The sequence below is a fragment of the Homo sapiens genome, chromosome 5 (genome assembly GCF_000001405.40).
Source record: "Homo sapiens chromosome 5, GRCh38.p14 Primary Assembly".
Lineage (NCBI taxonomy): Eukaryota > Metazoa > Chordata > Mammalia > Primates > Hominidae > Homo > Homo sapiens.
This window is the reverse complement of record NC_000005.10, coordinates 147,823,394-147,841,528: the sequence shown is the minus strand read 5'-3', so window position 1 is coordinate 147,841,528 and position 18,135 is coordinate 147,823,394. Positions and strand designations below refer to the sequence as shown.

At 37.2% G+C, this 18,135-nt stretch overlaps 1 protein-coding gene and 1 long non-coding RNA gene across 6 annotated transcripts; one reads left to right on the top strand and one right to left on the bottom strand.

Annotated features, from left to right (window-relative positions):
• SPINK1 (serine peptidase inhibitor Kazal type 1) lies at nucleotides 2,333-16,947 on the top strand. Of its 5 annotated transcripts, none has more exons than XM_047417625.1 (6): nucleotides 2,333-2,395; nucleotides 4,690-4,766; nucleotides 9,761-10,006; nucleotides 11,899-11,930; nucleotides 13,401-13,507; nucleotides 16,823-16,947. In XM_047417625.1, exons 3-6 carry the CDS (start codon nucleotides 9,952-9,954, stop codon nucleotides 16,866-16,868), a joined length of 240 nt encoding a protein of 79 aa, XP_047273581.1. In that variant the 5' UTR covers nucleotides 2,333-2,395; nucleotides 4,690-4,766; nucleotides 9,761-9,951; the 3' UTR covers nucleotides 16,869-16,947. The 5 variants fall into 5 exon arrangements, with proteins under 5 accessions (XP_047273581.1, XP_047273582.1, NP_003113.2 ...); XM_047417626.1 differs by having other exon boundaries at nucleotides 9,728-10,006; NM_003122.5 differs by lacking the exon at nucleotides 4,690-4,766.
• On the bottom strand, nucleotides 9,918-11,024 carry LOC124901101 (uncharacterized). Its single transcript, XR_007058987.1, has 2 exons — nucleotides 10,659-11,024; nucleotides 9,918-10,120 (listed from the first exon to the last, which is right to left on the bottom strand). It is a non-coding gene; the product is annotated as an uncharacterized LOC124901101 (long non-coding RNA).

Genomic DNA, 18,135 nt, shown 5'->3' with positions numbered 1-18,135 from the left:
TTGTGAAGATCACAATATTATTCATTCAATATAGTTTATTCAGAGTCTGCTACCATGTGGTCAGCACACTACGGAAATACATAGAAAGATTTCTAAACCCATGTTTTAATGGGAAGGGGCAGCTGATAAAAGAAGTCTTCTCAGAATAGCTGAAATTTAAACTGAGATACAGATGAATTTGTTCATAAGTAAGGAGTAAATCACAAAGGATCTCTTATGCAATGCTAGGGATTTGCATTTTATCATAATTGCAAAAAGGAATTTTAAGTAAGGTAGTTGCAGGATTAAACTGGGAATAGGGAGGCCAAAGGGTACAAAGTTATACAGATGAAAAAGTCTAGATATCGGCCAGGCACGGTGGCTCATGCCTGTAATTCCAGTACTTTGGGAGGCCGAGGCAGGTGGATCACAAGGTCAGGAGTTTAAGACCAGTCTGGCCAACATGGTGAAGCCCCATCTCTACTAAAAATACAAAAATTAGCCGGGCATTGTGGCGGGTGCCTGTAATCCCAGCTACTCGGGAGGTTAAGGCAGGAAAATCTCATGAACCCAAGAGGCGGAGGTTGCAGCAAGCCAAGGTTGCACCAGTGCATTCCAGACTGGGCGACAGAGCAGAACTCCGTCTCCAACAACAACAAAAAAAAGTCTGAATATCTAACATACAGCATGAGGACTATAATTAATAATATTTCATTGTATACCAGAAATTTTCTAAGAGAGTAGACAGATGTTAAGCATTCTTATCATTTTTTTAAAAAAGGTAACAATGTGAGATGATGAATGTGTTAATTAGCTTGACTGTAGTAGTCGTTTAACTATGTATATAAAAACATGTTGTACACCTTAAAATATATAACAATTTTTAAATGTTTTCTTAAAACATATATATTATATATATATATATATATAGAGAGAGAGAGAGAGAGAGAGAGAGAGAGAGAGAGAGTTGAGCATCTCGTAGTGCCCAAAAACAAAATTTTCAACAAACAAAATAAACACAAAATAAAAGTATGTCAAAGTGCTATAGGAGCCAGTCTGAAAGCTCACCCAATGGAATGACCAAACCTGGAACAATTTGACCACCAAAATAAATAGTGTATTATTGAATTATAACCAAAATATTAAATACATATTCACGAGACTTTGTACTTCTCTATCTCAATATTTATACTGATATAAATCCTTTTCTAAGTACATGAATATATCAATAAAGAGAAAGAGACATATGTTCCTTATAGAGGAATTTGAAATGGTTTATGGAGATACTCTGTTCTCAAAGAGTTGAAGCTTAACTCCTCATTCCCCAATGTGGGCTGCACTTACTGGCTTTCTTCCAAATAATGGGCTATGAAAAGGGGGTCAAAATTAGTTTTATAGTTGAGAAACACCACCTGGACCAGATGATAAAGTTTAGCATCACGGGTGATGTCATATTAATAGCATGTATCCATAATATCTGATGAGAAAGGTATCTGATCTCTTTAATTTAGAGGTTCTTTCCCCAAATCCCTAACTCCAGTCTACTCATGAGAAAAACATTTTTAAAAAATTGAGGGATATTTGAAAAAATACCTGACTACTCCTCAAAACTTGTCCAGGTAATGAAAAACGAGGAATAACTGATTTTCCTTAATATTTTCTAATCTGTGACAGAAGAGACTAAGGACAATCAGTTATTTTTTCCCACATTTAATGGTTGTGTTTTCTTAGTCTGTTCTGTCACAGATCAGAGAGACTAAGGAAACACAATCACTAAATGTGATGTTATATCCTAGATGAGATCCTGGAACAGGAAAAGAATACTAGTGGAAAAACTACTGAAATCACAGTGAAGTATAGTGTTTAATTAATGGTAATATGCCAGTGTTTGTTTTGTAGTTTTGAAAAATGTACCCAGGTAATGTAAAATGTTAAGAATAGGGAAAACTGGGTTAGGGATATCCATACATTTTCTGTACAAACTTTACAATTTTTTGACAAATCTAAAACTATCCTAAAATACTTTCATATTTTTAAAATAGCAGGATGCAATGAACAGTTAGGCAACTTCAACAAGTTGATAATCATCTGAATGGAGGAAGAATCAGCAAAACAAATATGGAGATAGAGTCAAGTAGGTTTAACGTGGTTTGATGACTGATATGATTTGACTGTGTCCCCACCTAAGTCTCATCTTGAATTGTAGTTCCCATAATCCCTATGTGTCATGGGAGGGACCCAGTGGGGAGGTAACTGAATCATGGGTGTGGTTACCCTCATGCTGTTCTTGTGACAGTGAGTAAGTTCTCACAAGGTCTGATAGTTTTATAAGGGACTTTTCTCCCTTTTGCTCAATACTTCTCCTTGCTGCTGCCATGTGAAGAAGGATGTGTTTGCTTCTCCTTCTGCCATGATTGTAAGTTTCCTGAGGCCTCCCCAGCCATGTGGAACTGTGAGTCAATTAAACCTCTTTCCTTTATAAAGTACGCAGTCTTGGGTATGTCTTTATTAGCAGTATGAGAGCAGACTAATCCAGTGACTATGTTAGGGGAAATAGGAGGCTGGTGAGGGAAAGAGGAGACAGGGATCACAGTGTTGGTGAGAGGCAGATCAAGTCATCAATCCAGGTCCTCTCCCTCTTCAGGACCATGAGATGGATAGCCTATAGCAAGTAGGAGAGACCATGGGGAACCGTGGGGGAATACTGTAGGCCTAGAGTGATGGAAGATGAATAGAAAGATGAATGTAGATGAAAGATGAATTAGGAAAGTTGATGATGGATTAGATCAAGAGCCATGGAAAAGCAAAGAACAAGACCCCAGGAGACTCTAAACCAAAGATTTGAAATAATGGCTATGCTCTCAAGAGAACTGGAGAAATTTGGGAAAGAAGAATTGTTAAAAAATAATCAGATATATTTTATAAAGTATAAAAGTTTGAAATGATATCAGGGCATTATATGGAAATGTTTCACAGTACAGTGAAGCCAACTAGAGTCTGGAGACATATACAACACATCTAGAAAAGTGAGAAAAAGTAAAAAAGATCATATGAATTGGCAAGAATAAATTCATTAATAAGACATAAGAGGTTTGGTTAAGAGTATGGGACCAGAAGCCAGAATCTACTGAAATTGTTTTTATGATCTTCATACACTCTCCCTCTTGCTATAGTTGTTCCACAGCATTCTATATTTCCTTATCTGAAATGTGGTTATTCATTAATTGACCTTTTGTCCCCAGATATACACTACTACCTTTAGCTACAGAATTCTTCTTTGATTTTCATAGGTTACAAGAAACATTTGTTTTTTCTTCCAGTAAACACGTTTCTCAACTGGATGCTTCCTTGTCTTATGTTTGAACATTTAGTTAATGATTGCTGTAGGGGATCAGTGCCAGATTGAGAGAAGAGCAAAGCTTCTGGAAAACGAGACTTAGAGGTCTATCAGTGAAAAGAGCTGATGGGAGGCATTCATAAAACTCTTGTGGGTCCAAGACAGGTGGCCTCCAACACGGATGGCTTGTCCCTGTAAGAAAAGTTAATGTGGCTGGGCACAGTGGCTCATGCCTGTAATCCCAGCACTTTGTGGGGCCGAGGCGGGTGGATCACCTGAGGTCAGGAGTTCGAGACCAGCCTGGCCAACATGGTGAAACCCCCTCTCCACTAAAAATACAAAAATTAGCCAGGTGCCACGGTGCTTGCCTGTAGTCCCAGCTACTCAGGAGGCTGAGGCAGGAGAATCACTTGAACCCGGAAGACAGAGGTTGCAGTAAGCTGAGATCATGCCACTGCACTCCAGCCCAGGTGACAGAGTGAGACTCCATCCCAAAAAAGAAAGAAAGAAAGAAAGAAAGAAAGAAAGAAAGAAAGAAAGAAAGAAAGAAAGAAAGAAAGAAAAGAAGTTAATGTAAGAGCAGTTTCAGAAATTTCCTATAAATTGAACATACAATAAGGAAAGATTACACCAATATAAGGAAAGAGAAAGGGCACGTAGTTGATCCCAAATTTGACATGAGCCACCATATGGCAGCAATAGTAGAAGTAGGCACAGGCACTTATTAACCCCTTGTTGTCCTGGTGTGAGCTATGAGCCTTATGCAAAGGCATTATCCTCTTAATTCCTCATAACAACTCTGTGAAGTATCTACAGGTCCACAGTCCCTAATTCATCATTTCAAACCCCACAGAGGGGTTTGTTTTGTTTTTGTTTTGTTTCAGAAGTTTTTCTTTTGTTTCATTTTGTAACTCATTTGACAGCAAAATCTGTCAAGAGATGATTTAAGGATAATTATTTTCTCTACATGATACGTTTTGCAGAAGAATTATTGGTGTATTTGATTAAAGGGTGCTGTGCCAGGCACCACTGGGCTTTCTGAACTGCACATATAACTTTTCAAAAATTTACAAAAAAAATTTGAATTTTAAAACCCATCCAGCCTGAGGGTATTTAGAGGAAAAATTATGAAAATTGAGGGTCATAAATATGAAGTTTAGCTCAAAGTTACACATAGGTTTGAACTGAGGTCTGTCATTCTGCAAAGATTAGACTTTCAATCATTAAATGACATGCTGGAAATGTTATTATCTTTACAGCTGGCACCAGAATTTATTTTAGGGAAAGAACTGTCTTTTTTGGGAAAATATCCTGAAAAGAACTTGTTAGATATGGTATCTCCAGAGCCAAGGTGTCATCTGTTTCTGTTCTAGACAAGGAAAGAAACTGGTTGTTTCATTCCTGGCTGGAGAGAGTAGAAAAGAGAATGAAGATGGAGTAACATACATTTGTAAGTTTGGCTACTGCTTGGCGGGAAATGACCAAGAAAGACTTCCAGTTAAGAGTAGTTATAAAGTCTGACATGTTTTTAAAATATTTTGTTGCCTAGTGTGTGATGCAATTCTTTGCAATCTTATTAAAGTCTACTATGCCCACAAATGCTTAGAAGGCATGGATTTCGCACATATTATCAGGTGCCACTGGATCTAACAGTGTACTTGACTGTGTAGATAAAAGGTCATGACATCCAGGAGTTTAGTAAAGGAGACAAATAAGAAAAATGAAAAATTAGAATTTCCAGTTTAAAGTGCTGTAACAGAGACGCTTAAGTGCAGGGTTTACATAGACGAGGGGGCAACCCTTTCTTTGTGGCAGTATTAAATTAAGAATCCTGGTTTCTTGGAGTTTAATCCAATGTTCTAACCATGACATTAAGTTTGTACACACACACACACACACACACACACACACACACAAATCAGTAAATACCATATCTGTTAATCTGTTACCAGGAACAAGAAAACTGAAATCTCTGTGCTTCAGTTTCCTTTCTTATAAAAGAGAAATAACAATGATATCAGGATTAAAATGATGAAAATAAAATACTGCAGTGACTGATGAATAGAAGCTTTTGAAAAATATTAGTAGTGGCTATAATGATAATGATGAGGAGGAGGATGTAATCAATGTAATTATTAAGTGATAGCTTTACAAACTGCTATGAGAGGCAAAGGAAAGTGAGTAAATCTTTCCTAATTGCATCAAGCACCACAGACATTTTACCCAAGCTGTAGAGGATGGGTACAGCAAATAGGTACACATGCAACCTATTTGGAGAACAAGCAGTGGAATAAAAACAAGAGGTCATTTATGAAAAGCCATGAAGTTCCCTAAATAATGAAAAATAAAAGTTGAAGAATTAAGTTGCAGCTATGTCAAGGAGGTCTCCAAATGTCAAGGAGGTCTCTAAATATAATAAGCTGTATATCTCTAGTTTCTGTCATTTTTTTCTTACTAGTTAAACTTTGGGCACAGAATGTGAAAATCAACAGGTGCCAGCCCAATATCCCCATTCCAACATGTATTATCAACATCCATTAGAGCAGTTCTCTTGAGTTTTGTCATCACTCTTTACTCAGGTGAATAATTAGTCCTTGAATCAGAGGGGAGTAGGTCATAATATGTTTACTTGAGTTCCCAAAGATAGACATGCATAAATATGTACTCAGAGCAGTAAAGAAGAAAAGGAAAAAATGTACACAAGGTTGAGCAATGTAAACACATTCAATATGACTAATAGTCTAGCACGGTGGCAGGATTTCTCTGGTCAATGCACTCCTCATCTCCCGGGGCAAACAATATTTATTCTGTCAAGAATTGATTGTATGAGGCCTCAGTATATTTTCTATTGTTCTAATTCATGGAAGGAGGGTGATATTATTACTAGCTAGCAATTATAATTCCTGGACATGTGAGGAATAATATTTTTGCACAATATTTACTTATGGTTTCTTGGTTTATTCTCACACCAAATGAACACTGTATGATGTGTATTTTTGTAGTTGAGAAAACTGTTTTGCCCACTCATGTCACAGTTGAAATGGCAGATTTATAATTGGAGACAGGCCCCTTTCTCCATGGGTTTTTTTTATCCTCTTTAACTTGTTGTCTGCAAAGGGCCATTCCCTATCACAAATTTAGGGCCAGTTTTTAACTAGAATTCATCTTAGTATTGTAGTGATTTAAAAAACAAGATTGTCTAGGGTCCATAGGATATGTTTCTGTAGTGAAATGTTTTTTCTAATCACAGATTAGGATTGGCAAACTGGGATGGAATAGAATAAAAAAATCTATCAAGAGTCCTCACATATAATAAGACTGTTTTATTTTTTAACAACTGTATTTGTCTGCTCACATATCTACATATAATGCATATGCTAGGCCATAACTCAAAATTTTTACTTTAGGTTCACAGTCAAAATGTTTAAAAAGCACTGTTTGGTGAAAAAAGTCCAGGCTTTGGCATCAGGCAGGCCTAAATCTAAAGTTATTACTGCTGCTATTATTATCTAATGAGTTTCTGTGACCAGATCCCAGCCAATTCCCTTCTCCCCACACTGCTTGTGAGACCCAAGAAAAAAATCCTTTTCTCATATATGAACCTTCCTTAACAGTGGTTATTGGAAGTTTCTTACTGGTCACAAAACTACTATTTAAATAATGATTTGAGATGAAAAGAACCAATATATTTTCATCTCAAATCAAATCAAATATGATCCAACCAACATCTATCAATGCTAAGACTAAACTCCATGAGGGCAGACATCATATCCATTTCCCTAGCACTCAGCCAAAAATTTTTGTATAGTAAGGACTTGATGAATATTTGAATATATTAATAGTTGAATGAATAAAAGGCCGAATGGTGAACCAATGAATGGCTACTCAACCGGAGGCACCGGAGACACAGAAGTGAACAAGGCATAAACCTTGGTCTTCAGAAATATATACATTTATCACTTAATTTATGTTTTTAGCAAATATTTATTTAGTATCAACTATTTTCCAGACACTTTGTTAGGTGCTACAATAAATAAAGCAACTGTATTTACTCCCTAAAAATAAAGATATTACATAATAATCGTATGAATAGCTATAGAGTTGGAATTATTTTAAGTGCAATGAAGGGTTTTATGAAGATCGTACAATAGGAGGGAATAATCTAGATGCAGAAAGAAGTAAAGGAAGACCCAGAAAGAATGGCTTCTTGAGAAAATACCACTTAACCTTTTAACCTTAGAAGGTGAAAAGCTGTTTTGTATTATTTTGTTTTGTTGGTCCTAGTAAAGGGTAACAGAGAAATGACCAACGTAGCAAGGAAATGACCAGATTGAGCAAGGAAGAATCTCTTGGGGAATAAAGATAGAAAGGAGCCAAGTCATACAGGACCTAAATTCTTCCTGAGCATTCTGAACAATGAGAAACTGGACAGATACATGATCAAATTTGCAGTCCATAAAGATCCCTATGGGCCTTTCTATGGGCAGCAGCTTTAAGGAAGAAATAACAACAAATATTGAGAAACTCTTTGCAGGAAATGCAGAAACCCAGGGGGAAAGGATGGCATTGTCTTAGATATGACAGTGGAAGCTAATGAGAAGTGTCCAGGATTGAGGTTATTTTGAACATGAATCCAAGAAGAGAACTTGGTAGCAAATTAAGTGTGGAAGATGATGCATAGAAAGGGGAAAGGGAAATATCAGGGAGAACAACGAGGTTTGGGCTTGAGTGATCTACTGGAAAGAAAAGAAGCTGTAGGGAGAATAGAGACAAAAATATTGTGGTGAAAGATCAAAATAGTAGTATGGAACATATTAGATTTGAGGTAGCTGTAAAACATCCAAATAGTGATTTCAAGAACTAAACACTTCCAAAGCTTCCCTTTGATAAAAACCAAAGTCCTTACTCTAGACTGCACTAGATTTAGACCCTCACTGCTTCCATTATTTCATCTCCCATTTTGCCCTCTATCACTTTGCTCAAGCCAGAGTGTCCTCCTGGATGTTTCTCAAACATGTCAAACCAGCGTCAGCCTCAGAACCTTTGCGCTTACTATTCTCTCTGTCTGGAATGCACATCCTTGGAATAAATGCATAGTTCAAATCCTCATTTCCTTCATGTCTCTGTGTGATATCACCTGAAAAGCAAGACCTTCTCTGATTACGCTATGATACATATCTCCTTAACCCTCCAGCACCCTTATCCTTCTTGTCCTTTTCTCCATAATATTTATCTGATATATTTTATAATCACTTATTATTTTTTGTCACTTGCCTCCCTCAACAAAAAGGCAATGGAAGCTCCATGAAGACAGAGATTGTTATTTTTATTTACTGATCTGTCTTAAGAGATAAATACAGTTCTTGTCATGACTTGGGAAGGGTTTGAGATTTTATCCTACTTGGAAGCTAAGAAGTTAGCCTGCCACATTATAATGGTTTCTGGCAGAAGGCACAGACTCCTGGCTCAGAGAAAAGGGACTTAATTATTCCATAGCAACAGCCAGAGTATTGGAATTTGTTCTGGTTTCCCAAGCCCCAATTTCCACAGGCCAATTTAAGGGGCATCAAGTGATAGTTGCAGGGAAAGTACAGTGTGTTAAAGGAAAGAAAGGCCAAGCTTTTAAAAACCCGAAATCTTTTGTAAAGGGCAATTAACATGGTCTTTGCCCTAGAAGGAGATATTAACTTTATTACACTAAACAGTAAACAAACCTGCCTTTTGGTGCAGAGGGAGACATTACGTATTTTCTAAGGTCGTTTGTTATATAAACACCCTTAAAAAGATAGTCTGAAACAAAGGTTATCAGTACCTCTACTCATAAGACACACCAAAACATGAGAGAGGATGGAGAATTCTCTTCTAATAACACATGGTAGATATCCAGCACATATTCTCTTTTACCCAGCACATATTCTCAGATGAAAGAGTAACCCTTTGAATTAGGTGTTATTATTATTTTAATTTCCAGATGAATACACAGAAGCACAGCAAAAGTGGCTCCAACAAGCACCCTCTAGCTCCAGAATACACGCTTTAGGGAACTGAGTCCTCTCTCTCTCTTGCTTTCTCTTTCCCTCTCATCTGCCACTCCATCAGCTACTTTAGGTTTTGTGAATGAGTGAGGGAAAAATAGAGAAAAGAGAAAGAAGAATAAGAAAGGAAGAGTGGAGGAAAGGAAAAAAGAATGGAGAGGTTTTACCCTACTTGGAATAAAATTCTTTCTAGTAGCTATCCATACCTGCTCATCTATCCAGAACTACAGAGTAGAAGGGATCTTTGAGTTCATCTTACAGGTGAGAAAACAGGCTTGAGAAGGGAATGACTTTCCCACAACCACAGAGGGAGTTAGGGATCAAACTAACCACTAGAACTATTTTCCTGACAGAATCTTTGCCTTGCATGTTTCAGGCCCACCTGGCTCCTTTCACCTTTCTTACACAGGTGACATTCCCAGAACCTGGAGGCCAGGCTATGACACAGAGTCAATCAATAACCAGGGAGATCTGTGATATAGCCCAGTAGGTGGGGCCTTGCTGCCATCTGCCATATGACCCTTCCAGTCCCAGGCTTCTGAAGAGACGTGGTAAGTGCGGTGCAGTTTTCAACTGACCTCTGGACGCAGAACTTCAGCCATGAAGGTAACAGGCATCTTTCTTCTCAGTGCCTTGGCCCTGTTGAGTCTATCTGGTAAGTGTTGCATATTTTTCAAATTTAAATAAAACTGTTTTGACCTGTTGCTTTGTGAAGCACATTATCTTCTAGACTTTTGATGTAGTCTAGTCTTCGAGAGATGTTTTGGACCTAATGAGATGAAATAAAATCAACAGGTAAGAATTATTTTTTAAGAGGAATTTTTAACCTACTATAAGGAAAACAATTCTACTAGTAAGAAATTCCCAGAAATAAAATGGTTTTCCTCTATTGATGTGGCTGACCCTTTGTTGGGATATGGTAGAGAAAAAAGGGTAAAAATATTTTAACTTTAAGTATACTTCTCATTCTGTAAATGTGTAAGGCCAAATTACAAATTTTAAATTCTCATGGGATTGCATAAAATAGATAAATGGCTTCCAGTTATTCAGTATAAAAGGCATAATTTGACTGATTAAAAATTTATTTTTTTATTGTATAGGTTTCAGTGTACTTGAATCATGTATAGTTTGTCAGATTTATCCCTGAATAGCTAATATATGTGATATAAAGGGAATTTTTTATTTTCAATTCCTGGTATTTCTTATTAGTATCTGGAAATACAAAAATTGCATTTTGTGTATTTACATTACACATTTTGAATGTTTTGAAAGAAAATATTCTGCTTGAATAGATGGTGCACATATACCTCCAACTGCATCTTGACAATGTTGACAGACAACTCTGAACCCGCAGAGCCAAGATCAGTTTCCTTTTTATCACTGGAAATGGTTAACATTTTCAACTTCACCTCTCATGTAGTGAAGGATCCTGTGGAGAGCCAAATCAGCACTTTGCTAAGAAGAGGAAGAATATTGTTTGTTTTATTTGCTGAATATTTATGGCAACAGTCAGTGTTCCCTTTCCCCCTCCTCATGCATGTTAATTAATACAAATAGATGCCTGTGATGAGCACCTGCTCTTCAGTTTTTAGACTCAACTAGATTCTAAAAGCCAGTGGGCCCCCAACAACATCAAGTTCTGACTATCCCGGGGGAAATTCTCCAAGCTCATAGATGCCTCACTAATTTTCATTACATTTAGATACAAAGAACTACCTCTTTGCTCAGATCACCTCAAAGATTGATGATATTAAAATTAATTTTCAGGAATGTTTCCTTATTTGATTGCTATCATATTAGTTCCCTTTCCCTTCCATGAACTTATCCACAGTTATCATTTCCTATATGTTGTCAGCAAAACCTCTGCTATTTTCTGGGGGAATAGAGATTAGCTATTTTGACTACCTGTAAATTCAACAAATGTGAGTTAGACCCATAGTCCATATGATGCAATTGTTGGAAATAGCTCTTTGGGAACTGATAGTGAGTTGGCAAAAGAACTCTATTTTTTCAACAATACTTACAAAAGGGAATTTAAATGTAATTGAAAAAGCTAACTTTGCATCAGAAGACCTGGTTACTGCTTATGATAACTGTTTCACAGCTAGTTATAAAAACTCTCCATACTTTCATCTGTAAACTGAGATAAAAATTATACTTCACTAATTGTGAGATTAAAGATCTAGTAACTGGTTTTGAGAATGTTTGTGAGTATTCAAAAGATAATTTGCTCAGTGCCTGATTCATTTCCAGCAGTAAGTGCATAATTTCTGTTTTCAAGGAAATAGATCAACTTCCTAAAACATCAAATCGAGATACTTTGGTCATAATCAAAGTTTTACTCAAACTTTTTAAGGTTTTGCCAAGGAAGGGGTACAGGAAAATCAGTCAGATACTTTTGGAAGATTAGAGAAATCAGAAAGGGTGGGGAATGAAAGAGCCTAGTAAAGAAGTCACAGTCTGCAATGAAAGCAGAGAATTCTGATGAAGAATAGATCTGACTTCTTTCATTTAGGACCCAACTTACCATATCTGATTTATTTCTAGGTAACACTGGAGCTGACTCCCTGGGAAGAGAGGTAAAGAGATATTTGTAATTTCTTATTTCTCAGACTGGAACAGTTTGATCCAACAAAAATGCAGCCTTGCTGTCACCTTTCAGTTTAGCCTGAAGTTAAGAGGAGTATGAATGCTAGGGAGGGTTAACGTGAGAAATGCAAATGGTAGTAGTAGTTCCAACCCACAGGCGTATATTGAAGGACAATTTCACTGATGTATAAGCAAGTTCCATATAGTCCTACAGTGCTTGCTGTGAAGGGGTTTTTATATAGACTAGTGATAGCTGTAGACAAGTATTTGGGGTGGAAGCCTTCTCAACTTCACTCCAAGTAGCCCTTCCTCCTTACAGCCAGTTTGACCATGTTGGCATGCAGCTCTCCCAATCACCAAGGTGTGGCTCTAATTTATAATGAATGACAGAAAATAATAAACTAGGTTCTCCTTCTAGAAAAATATTCTAACTCTAACCTTTTCATATTTTTTTGTTTAAGAGGTAATTTCAGTAAATTTGGAGACCAGAGGAAGAAGTGTCCCTGTTCTCAGTACATTTATATCTAGTCAGAGACAGCTGATAGACCAAAAGTTCATGAATGAATGCAATATTACATTTGTGATAAGTGTTATGAAAAAGTTCTGCTGCCGTTAGGAACTTAGCCTAGTTAGAAAAATCAGGGAGGGTGCTCCGAAGTAACTGAGGGGTTATTTTGAGCCAAAAAAAAAAAATGAGTGTTAGTAAAACAAAACTGGTGGGGAGATGTAGTAGAATAAAGTACTTAAGAGCTAAAGCTCAGGAACTCTGACTAGGTTTGAATTCTGAATTTAGGAATTCCTTAGCTGGGTGGCCTTGGCTAATTTTATTGCTTTGTGCCTCATTATCTTCACCTGAAGAAGAATATAATACTTAGTTCACAGGATAGTTAGGAGGTTTAAACAGAATAATATATAAAAAGCACTAGAACAATGTCTAGGACAATGACAATCATTTGATGATTATAAACTCTTACTGGAGTAGAATGCAAAGACTTCCAACACCCGACAATGCCTAGTGCCTTTAAGTGCCTAATAGAAGACCAGTGTGTGTGGACTACAGTGTACAAGGAAGAACGTGCCCCAAGATGTGGCCAACCTGAGAGATGCCAGCACCCGCAGTAATTGCAAACTTGAACATTATCTCACCCATCCATGTAAATCTCACAACAACACTATGAGATAGGTGGGAAATGGTAATATCATCACTGTTTTGCAGATGAACTGACTGAGTTTCAGAAGGGCCATAGGACTTACTAATGTCACACAGCTTAGAAATAGCAGAGGCATGACTTAAAACAAGGTTTTCTGTCTCCAGATAGTAGGTTATTTCTCTTACAACACACAGTATCATTCTCCCAATCACAGTTATTCCCCAGAGAAATAAAACCATTTCAGAGATTTTGCTATGAACTCAAGAATGGAGAATAATGGGAAATGATTCTGTTTAATTCCATTTTTAGGCCAAATGTTACAATGAACTTAATGGATGCACCAAGATATATGACCCTGTCTGTGGGACTGATGGAAATACTTATCCCAATGAATGCGTGTTATGTTTTGAAAATCGGTGAGTACAAACTTGAGTTTCTTTTAAACTATATATTTTAAGTTAGTTATCTTCAAGTGTACTGATAATATGAATCTCACCCCGAGAAAAGCAAACTATTTACTTTTTCCAAAAACAGTTATCTCTTTCTTATTCTCCCTTTTATATATTTAGCATTAAATATTATTTTTTAGAAGTCACTTGTATGATAAAAGCCTATATTTTTTACAGCAAAATAGTCGATAGCTTGGATTTTTATAAAGTACACACAAAATACCTTTAATTAAAAAAATTATTAGTGGTTGCAATGATTGTGTTTTTTAAAGCCCTCAGTTATGCAAATATAAATTGTATAGATTATATAACCAAAAATATATTTTTACTTATGGATATGAAAGCCAGTTTCAGTAAAGCTTCATTTCCTCAGTGACCATAAGTAGGTGATGTGATACAGAGAAATAGATTCAACACAGATTTCCTATCTCACTCAGCAACTGAAACCTTAGCATGTCTCAAGCATCATGCTAATATTCCCTGTCTTACTTGTGCTTATGACTAAGAAAACATCATGAGCATGTATAGGATGGCTTCTTATAACTTGGGGCAAATGCCAGAAGATGAGGTGTAAATAAAGTGCAACAGGAGTGAAGCAGAGATACATATTTTTTATTAAAAGGGGCCAAGAAAGGATCCATGAAAAGAATAGAATGCCAGCCGGGTGCAGTGGCTCACTCCTGTAATCCCAGCACTTTGGGAGGCCGATGCAGGTGGATCACCTGAGACCAGCCTGGCCAACATGGTGAAACCCCATGGTGGCGGGCGCCTATAATACCAGCTACTCAGGAGGCTGAGGCAGAAGAATCGCTTCAATCTGGGAGGCAGAGGTTGCAGTGAGCTGAGATTGTGCCACTGCACTCCAACCTGGGTGACAAGAGTGAGACTCCATCTTAAAAAAAAGGAAAAAAAAAGAATAGAATGCCATTTAAATAGAGTTCTGAATTTTGGCAATATCAAAAGAGCATGCCAGGTTAAATAAAGGTGTGGAATGAACAAAGCAAATAAAAGGGATTCCACGAGTGACTTTAGTTTTTCTGAGATTGACTTGATATTAAAGACTTTGACTCAGGCTCAAATGACTGTGTAAATTTCCATTATATTCTACTGCATAAATTCCCTTTTCTGTAATGCAAACCTTCTTCTTGGGCTGTTTTAAACCATTTTGGAAAATTCTCAGAGTTTAGCAAGTATTGTGGAAATAGGACCTCTGGATGAGAGGTCTAATATCCTGAAGTTTTAGACCCAAAACATTAGGTATTCTACTTTGTAATAAATCTGTTTCCATAATTAAGACTTGTAAAAAGAATTTGAAGCCACCTGTTAGTTTTCTCATGACCCATGTTCTTGACATTAAGCTCAAACATCATATTTCCATCCAATGGGAGGAGAAAGCAAGAGAACAACAGCTTTGAGACTTGGGAAATTTCCAAGTGCCGCTCAACATTTACAGTGAAACATTAGAAAAATATTAGTAGAGGGCTGGAACACCCTATCTGCTTAGCCTCTGAAACCTCCGAGTTTCTGCTTATTCTTTCTATTTGTTCAAAACTATGTAAATATGGGAGGCACATTTGTATGCTAGAAAACATGACCTCTCTTCCTATATTTCTCAGATAAGAAAATTTAGGTCTAGAGACAAAATGTTGCTTTCTCAAATACAACATATTTCCTAATGTATGACATTGCCTTTTTCACTGTTGATTAAAAGTCCCAAACTTATTACCTAGTAACTAAAGCCAGACGCTGACCCTAGTTTGAGACAAGTAGATAATACCAAACAAGGGCTTGCAAATCAGTCTTTTTGGTGATTATGTGCTTGGCAAATATATTCAATAAACACTTTTTCTATTCCTTCTACGTCTTCAAAGGGAATCTGTACCGGCAAATTCTTTTCCATAAACCTGCATCTCCAATAGAACCTTCTATAATGATGGAAATGTTCTATGTTTATGCTGTCTAATACATAGCCACTAGCCACAAAACAGTAGCCTTAATGTGGCTAACACTAACTTAAATGTGGCTAGTAAAACTGATCAGCTGAATATTTAATATTATCTAAACTAATTTACATTTACATAGCTATATGTGGATAGTGAATATATGAAACTAGAGTGAACAGCATAGCAACTCTTGTTTATTCTGTTTAGGTGTGTGTGCTTATGTATGCTAACTGATTTGGAAATCAGTATTAATGAGCAGTTAATGATTGTGGGACAAGAAAGCATTAAAAAATCTTAAAGAGTTTGGCTGGGCATGGTGGCTCATGCCTGTAATCCCAGCACTTTGGAAGTCCCAGGCAGGTGGATCACTTTTGTTAGGAGTTTGAGACCAGCCTGGCCAACATGGTAAAACCCCGTCTCTACTAAAAATACAAATATTAGCCAGGCATGGTGGCATTCACCTGTAATCCCAGCTACTTGGGAGGCTGAGGCAGGAGAATCACTTGAACCCGGGAGGTGGAGGCTGCAGTGAGCCAAGGTCACACCACTGCACTCCAGCCTGGGCAACAGAGTGAGACTCTGTCTTAAAAAAAGAAAAAAAAGAAAAAAAGAAAAGAAAAAAAAAAGAAAAAAAAGTATATGGAAGTCAGATGTCCTTCAGTAATAGAGAAGTAGAAGAATTTTTGTAAGCCCGTACATTCAAAGAAAAAATGGTTAGAAAAATTAAAGACCTGGAAACAGTCTTCTAGGGAACAATTATAAAATTTAGAGATATTTAGTTTAGGGAAGAGAAAACTAGTTTGGTAATGGTAGTGTGGGGCGAACAGAGAGGTTTTATCTGGAGGGGAGGATGTTTAGAACTGGCAGGAATCATGTGGAATAAATATGTGATTTACTTTTGTGAGACCTCACAGATACGAATCCCCAGAGCTCTAAGATGAAAGGTCAATCAATTAGAAGGTCCAACAATAGCTCAGGCATCAGCTGAGATGGAAACCTGGTGGCGAAGGCAGAGGCATCAGGAGCAAAAGATGCAACAATAGTTTTGAGTTTAATTTCAGGGGTTCACTGTAACACCCCACGAGATCTGTAAAAACTGTAAGGACAGATATTTTTCCTTTCTGTTGTATCCTTAGTGTATTCAACAGTAATCAATAAATATTTGATGAATTAATGACTAAGTGAATGTATAAATGAATGAAAGACAGAGAAAAGATTATAAATCTCAAACCTCTCCAACTTTAAATGAAGCTGTTATTTTTCCCCCTGTTTTTCTCCCATAGTCACTTTTTCATCAGTGAAGTTTAAGCTGATATATTTTTTTTAATCTCTACTGCAGGAAACGCCAGACTTCTATCCTCATTCAAAAATCTGGGCCTTGCTGAGAACCAAGGTTTTGAAATCCCATCAGGTCACCGCGAGGCCTGACTGGCCTTATTGTTGAATAAATGTATCTGAATATCCCCTGTTGTTTCCATTTGCTTTTTCCTCAAAGGTATGTTTGATTATACCAGGGTCAGGGGACTTTGGTAAGACTGAGAATAGACCAAGTTTTAAAAACATCAGGAATCCTGTAATTTCAGACAGGGTTTCCCTCATAATTCCTTTTCTTTCCTCATCTTTCTCACATCCTGAGGTCACTGCCTTAGAAAATGTGATTGCAGATATTAAATGGCAGAGCACAGATGATCATGAATACAAGAAATTCTTTGAGGACTGGACTACTATTTTAAGGAACAATTGGAAAATACCCAGTCCAGAAACATGTTACCCATCACAGTCTGCTGATTGCAATAACTCCTTTAGGTTTCCTTGGGATTTGATTGAGCATCTATTGTGGCTGGCACAGGTCTACGTGCATGGGCATAGAGCTGCCTATATGGTGGAATAGAGTTTAGTCTTTGAGATTTTCCACTTATCTCAGAATGTAGATTTTGGGTCAGACATAATTGTCTCAAAAAGATTTGAATCATTGAGAAAACAAACAAAAAAAGTACATTTTCTTAACAAGGCTATGGAGCAGCTTCTGGACTTAGCCTTAGTTCTTCCCCAGCAGGGCCAGTTCCCCATTAGTTACTAAGGTGAATGGTGGTAACGTAGAGCCTGTGGTTGTCCCTGATAACCCGGGGCTTGGATGGAGGACTTCCTCTTGTGCTTCCCTGGGAGATCTGCTTCATAGGGCCTGATGGGTTTGTGCTGTGCTAACCTGAGGCAGGTAGGTGGGGAGGCCTGATTCTGGATTAACTTTGGGAATGGTCTCTTCTACTATCAAACCATTCCCAAAAGATAATCTGACAAGGAAAAAAGTGACTATAGACTGGATGAACTGATCAAGAGACCTTTGTGCAGCACACTTTGGTTTATGTGTGGGCCAAAACAACCCTATAAGATTATCCTTATCTTATGAGTAAACTTAGAACTAAGTGAAATCACCTGCCTAATATTGCAAGCAAACAAAGCGACAGGCTTAGGTTTTTATTATAATACAGGACTGACTTCAAATCTAATGCTTCTTCCATTAAGCCACAATCACCTCACGTGAGTTACTCATTGCCTATTTTTTCTATAGAAACTTCAGATAACACCTTCCTATTAAAAAGGACTATGTGTTTATATTCAGGGAAGCAAATCAGATAAAACTAAAGAAGTTCC